The sequence below is a fragment of the Homo sapiens genome, chromosome 2, assembly GCF_000001405.40.
Source record: "Homo sapiens chromosome 2, GRCh38.p14 Primary Assembly".
In the NCBI taxonomy this organism is placed as follows: Eukaryota; Metazoa; Chordata; class Mammalia; order Primates; family Hominidae; genus Homo; species Homo sapiens.
In genome coordinates this window covers 218,627,576-218,633,328 of record NC_000002.12, presented here as the reverse complement: position 1 = coordinate 218,633,328, position 5,753 = coordinate 218,627,576, and the positions used below count along the sequence as shown (strand labels likewise).

At 47.3% G+C, this 5,753-nt stretch overlaps 1 protein-coding gene across 10 annotated transcripts in view; it reads right to left on the bottom strand.

Moving 5' to 3' along the window:
* The window catches only part of PLCD4 (phospholipase C delta 4), a 29,277-nt gene that overhangs the window by 3,847 nt on the left and 19,677 nt on the right, over nucleotides 1-5,753 (bottom strand). For 9 of the 10 annotated variants that reach the window (XM_047446072.1, XM_047446075.1, XM_047446076.1 and 6 more), the window contains exons 7-10: nucleotides 5,099-5,300; nucleotides 3,666-3,810; nucleotides 2,527-2,679; nucleotides 1,017-1,193 (exon numbers count right to left, since the gene is read on the bottom strand). In XM_047446072.1, coding sequence (XP_047302028.1) covers nucleotides 1,017-1,193; nucleotides 2,527-2,679; nucleotides 3,666-3,810; nucleotides 5,099-5,300 — 677 coding nt within the window. The remainder of the gene's footprint in view (nucleotides 1-1,016; nucleotides 1,194-2,526; nucleotides 2,680-3,665; nucleotides 3,811-5,098; nucleotides 5,301-5,753) is intronic. The other variant, XM_047446077.1, reaches the window with a different exon arrangement.

The following is a 5,753-nucleotide window of genomic DNA, read 5'->3' as shown; positions in this document are numbered from 1 at the left end:
CCTCTGGGCTTGTGTTTGCTCTATGTTATATCCTGGGTGACAGGTTTTAAATTTATTATTATATTTAAACAGAGAGGCATTATCCTCCCTCCCTCTCATTTAAAACAAAGGAACAATAACCTTTGGTCAAAATGTACATGAATCCAGACAGATATGTCAAGGTATGCAAATGGTCATGTAAGTCACACCTGGAAGGATGTGAGAGTCCCAGAGTAATATCTTTGGATTTGTCTCCTGAATTCCCATTTCCATCCCTGGACATGGCAGCAGGTTAGACACCACAGCCCCAGAAAGCACAGGATAAGCTAGGAGTCAGTCAGCTGAGTGAGCCACGCAAGTACACAAGAGAAAGGCAGACTTCAAACCAGGATCTTGGAGGCCCCACCAATGGCATCCCTTCTCCCTCTGCCTCCCTTCCCCATAGGGAGATGGACCACTCTAGCACAGCCTTCTCAGAGCCTTCACGTTCCCCACCTCAAAATGCTCTCCTTCCTGCTCCTCTGGCTACTGCTGGCCCTTCCTAAAACTCATCCTTTCCAAAAAGCTTTCTCTATGCCCACTTTGGTTGAGATCACAACAATCATTCCAGTAACCCCTACTTACCCAATATAATAATGTTACACATACAAACACACACCCGCTCATCACTGGTTTTCAAGCTGGCCTTTAAGAAGACCAAGAAGTACAAAAATGTCTCAGGAGTCACTAGGGCACCCAGGAGAGAGCCAAATGGGTGCTTCAACTAGGATGGTTCTGCGTTTATCTATTTTGCGTAAGATTTCATTTTAAAAAAAAAGATGTGGCCCAAAGAAGTTGGAAAGCCACTGCAACATACCTACATATGGCAGTATATAATATATATTGATGCCATGTATGCGGTCTTAAATCTCCTTCATTGGGAGGAAGGGTCATTGCTCCTTGGCCCTGCATCTTGCACGGCTCTAGTCTTCATGAACAGGCCTTCAGCTTGCATAAGTTGACTAAATACCACAGCAGAAAGACCACTCCTGGCTTACCTTCTTTTTGTCCTTATTCTGAAGGTTCTGCTCCTGGGGCTCAGGCTCAGTCTCAAACTGGGACTCCAGCGCCAATTCTGACTCTTCCAACTCAGGTTCTGCTTCCTCTTCCTCATATTCCAGGTCTTCCTCAAGTGTTAACTTCTTCCCCTTCACCAGGATCTTCCTCCGAAGCTCCTAGGGGACAAAAATGAAGGGGCCTGTCTACCTGTCTGCTCTTGGGTCCTTCTGGGAATCATGCCAGTCTCATTGTTCTCAAAGGCAGAGGAAGTGAGTGAGTGGTCGGAAGTTCCCGAGGGAAGAGATTAGCTGCTTGATACATACAATTGGAATTCCCATATTGTTAAGCAAACTTTTAATATCTCTATCCATATGGAAAATAATATATATGGTCTCCTGCCACACATTTGACACAGTAAATACTCGTTATAGATTAGAGATTTACATGTCAATATAAAGAACATAAGAATACAAGAAGGAAATAGAGAACCTTTTTGAATAATCCTTTTTTTTTTTTTTTTGAGACGGAGTCTCGCACTGTCGCCCGGGCTGGAGTGCAGTGGCGCAATCTCAGCTCACTGCACCACCACCTTCCAGGTTCAAGCAATTCTCCTGCCTCAGCTTCCCAAGTAGCTGGGATTACAGGTGCCCACCATCATGCCCAGCTAATTTGTATTTTTAGTAGAGATGGGTTTTCACTATGTTGGCCAGGCTAGTCTTGAACACCTGACTTCATGATCCACCTGCCTCAGCCTCCCAAAGTGCTGGGATTAGAGGCATGAACCAACGTGCCTGGCCTGAATAATCTTACCGTGGGAAAGCCTTTAGAAACATAACTTGAAAACTCAGGGCCAGGCGCAGTAGCTCACGCCTGTAATCACAGCACTTTGGGAGGCTGAGGAGGGTGGATCACGTGAGGTCAGGGATTCAAGACCAGCCTGGCTAACATAGTGAAATCTCATCTCTACTAAAATACAAAAACTAGCCAGGTGTGGTGGTGCACACCTATAATCCAAGCTACTCAGGAGGCTGAGGCAGGAGAATCGCTTGAACCCGGGAGGCAGAGGTTGTAGTGAGCTGAGATCGCACCATTGCACTCCAGCCTGGGCGACAAGAGCGAAACTCTGTCTCAAAAAAAACAAAAAAATCTATCGATAGCTGCTTGTTATGGGAGAGGTTGGGATTATGATAGGAGGGGAGATTTCCCTTTATATTGTTTGTATAGTCCACAACAACTATGAACTACCAGAAAAAAATCAAGATACTTCCACTGAGAAAAGAAATAATGTAAATTGTTGATTTAAAACTTAGAGAGCTATAAATAGAATTCTGTGTTCAGTTAGATTTTGTTTAAGTTAAAATTGTCTCCAAGGATCCAAGGACATTAAAGAGCAAGATGGTCCATCCGAGGATAGAAAGAAGGGAACAAAGAGGGGCATAGAGGAAGGAGCCCAGGTGGCGGAATCCAGAAGCCACAGCAGAGCCTGGGCTGGAGGAACAGTGTCCCTACCTCAGGCGAGGGCAGCTGAGTGGGCAGCACCCCATCCAAGGTGGTGCTCAGCAGCTGCTCCCCCAGGATCTCAGTCAGATGACGGGCCATGGTCTGCTGCTGCTCCCAGCTGCAGTGGGTCTCCAGGGACAAGATGACTGGGTAGTCTGATGTCTGGTGGTGAGGGGAGGGAACAATGGATTCAGAGTTCTAAAACACTGCAACCTACTTCTTCAAGTACCCGCTTCCTAGGCCTCCCTACTTACTCACTCAGATGAGTACCCTGATCACTAAACTCTTCCAACTCCATTATAGGATTCAGTGAGATCTTGCTGGGTCTGAGGCCCATGCCTGCGACACTGCCCACATCTAAAGACATATTCACATCTTGGGATCCTAAATCTCATACCTGTGCCAAGTCTGACCCAGGCCCCTCTGGGACCTTTGAGTTTTCAGGCTCTTAGTGGGAAGGCCAGGCCACATTCCCTGGTTATGTGTTCATGTTGCACTCTCATGCTTTCATCCTCCAGATTCCCATTGTTCATCAGCCCTACTCACCACTATCTCTGTGTTTCCTATCCACCTCTTCCAGAAGGGTGATAGAACTTGTTAGAAGTAATAGTTTTTTGTTTTGTTTTGTTTTTTGAGATGGAGTTTCACTCTTGCTGCCCAGGCTGGAGTGCACTGGTGCGATCTCGGCTCACTGCAAACCTCTGCCTCCTGGGTTCAAAGGATTGTCCTGCTTCAGCCACCCAAGTAGCTGGGATTACAGGCATGCACTACCACGCCCAGCTAATTTTCTATTTTTAATAGAGACGGGGTTTCTCCATGTTGGTCAGGTTAGTCTCAAACTCCCAACCTCAGGTGATCCACCCGCCTCGGCCTCCCAGAGTGCTGGGATTACAGGCATGAGCCACCACACCTGGCCTGAAGAAGTAATAGTTTCTAACCATAAGTAATTACCTCCATAACTACTAATTATTAGTAACATGTCCAACACTTATTCATAATCAGCCTTTAGTATTTGCCTGATGCTTTACAGTTAAATCCTCTTTTGATGGAACTTCCCCTGTACTCCTCCACCCTCCCCAGACCCAGAGCCAGTCGTTCTTCCCTCAGACCTTCTGGCCTCACCAGTGTCCCCATCCTGGGGCTACTACCTGGAAGGCATACTGTGCTACTGTGGCCACGACATCTTTGAACAGGATGCGGGAGGTCAGGGTGTGTCCGTGGTAAACGACAGGTTCCCCGCTAGGTCCATCCCATACATCCACCTCCACGCAGCGGCACCCCCGCTTCAGGGCCCTGAAAGAACCCCATCCCCACCGAGAAATAGGAGAGGTCAATATCTGATCTTCTACCTAGGGACTCTCCCCACTCTGGAGAGAACAGTGCTCACCAGCACTTACCCATCCAGACCCCTTCAAGCTACATCTGCATAGAGCCTTCTCCATCCATGGGGACACTGCTGCAAGCTCACGCTGATCTCTACCCATACTTCAGCCCACCCGACTCACAGTCCTTCCATAGCAATCCATCACACATTGCCTCATGATGCATCTGGTGTTCTGGTTTTACTTATTTATTTATATTTACTTTTATTTTTTTGAGACAGGGTCTAAATCTGTCACCCAGGCTAGAGTGCAGTGGTGTGAACATGGCTCACTGCAGCCTTGACCTCTCAGGCTTAAGCGATCCTCCCACCTCAGCCTCCCGAGTAGCTGGTACTAAAAGCACACATCACCATGCCTGGCTAATTTTTGCATTTTTTGTGGAGACGGGCTCTCACTATGTTGCCCAGCCTGGTCTCGAACTCTTGGGCTCAAGCGATCTCCCTGCCTCGGCCTCCCAAAGTGCTGGAATTACAGGCATAAGCCATTGTGTCCAGTGGTGTTCTGGCTTTATATCCCTATACAACATCCTGGTTATTCAAACTGTCAGTAAATTTACACCTTAATTCCTCAGCTAGACTTCCTAAGGTGGAAACTATATGTTCCACTCATCTTTGTATCCCTTGAAGCTACTAGTTCAGTTGCTGGTAATAGAAAGATATCTTGACTATTCAATCTAATCCATGATTAGTCACAATAAAATCAGAACTGCTTATTAGCTATTGACATATGAATTATCTCTTCACAACAACCCAGACAGAATAGGCACTGTTACCATCCCTGTTTCACAGATGGGGAGACTGAGGTATAGAAGTTAAATACTTAGCCCCAGAGTACCAAGTGAAGGAGCTAGGATATAATTTCAGATGGTCTGACTCCAGAACCTATATTTTTAACTCCTATTCTCTATTGCCTTCCATTTAACAATCTGTTTATTAATTTGTTAAATATAAATCTGTCAGGGCCTCTGAGTTCCAGGAGAGTTTCATAGCTTGTGAAAGAGAAGTTCCATTGACCCATAGGGTTTCATTACCATTCTCCCACCAGTCTTCAATATCTCCTCCAAGTGTCTCTGGTATCCAGGGCTCCTCAGCCCCTAAACCCCCACAACACTGTCCCAATCTGTTAGACACTGACAGCTCCCCTCACTTTTCTACATGGTCCCTCTCATGAGTTGGACCCCTTCTCTACCACCACTGCACCGTATATATCCCTCGACGCTGCTCTGGCCACAAAGCTGGTCCCCCACTAGGTAGGTGTTATGAGAAGAGCAGATGAAGTAGTGGTTCAGGGGTTGAGTCATATCCTGATAGATGGGGAGGCAGGCTGGGTTGAAGATGTCTCCATCCTTAGAGCAGAGGTAGCTGAGGAAGCCATCCATACTCAGCACATGCCGCAGTTTGCCTGGAGTGTGGACAGGGGAACACTAGGTGAGAAGCTCTGAATGGGAGCATCCCAGCACACCTACAGTCCATCCTTCCTCCCACTCCATCCAGAGCCCTGCCTTTCAGATGGCACCCATTCCCAGCCTTTAGATCCCAAACTTGCCCCACCTAGTGTGTATCATTTCAATCATTCCCACCCTCAAAGAATGTTAAAAGGAATCATTAAGATCATTCAAGGCTGGGCGCGGTGCCTCACGCCTGTAATCCCAGTACTTTGGGAGGCTGAGACGGGCAGATCACGAGGTCAGGAGATCGAGACCACCCTGTCTAACACGGTGAAACCCCATCTCTACTAAAAATACAAAAAATTAGCCGGGCACGGTGGTGGGCGCCTGTAGTCCCAGCTACTCGGGAGGCTGAGGCAGGAGAATGGCGTGAACCCGGGAGGCAGAGCTTGCAGTGAGCCCAGATC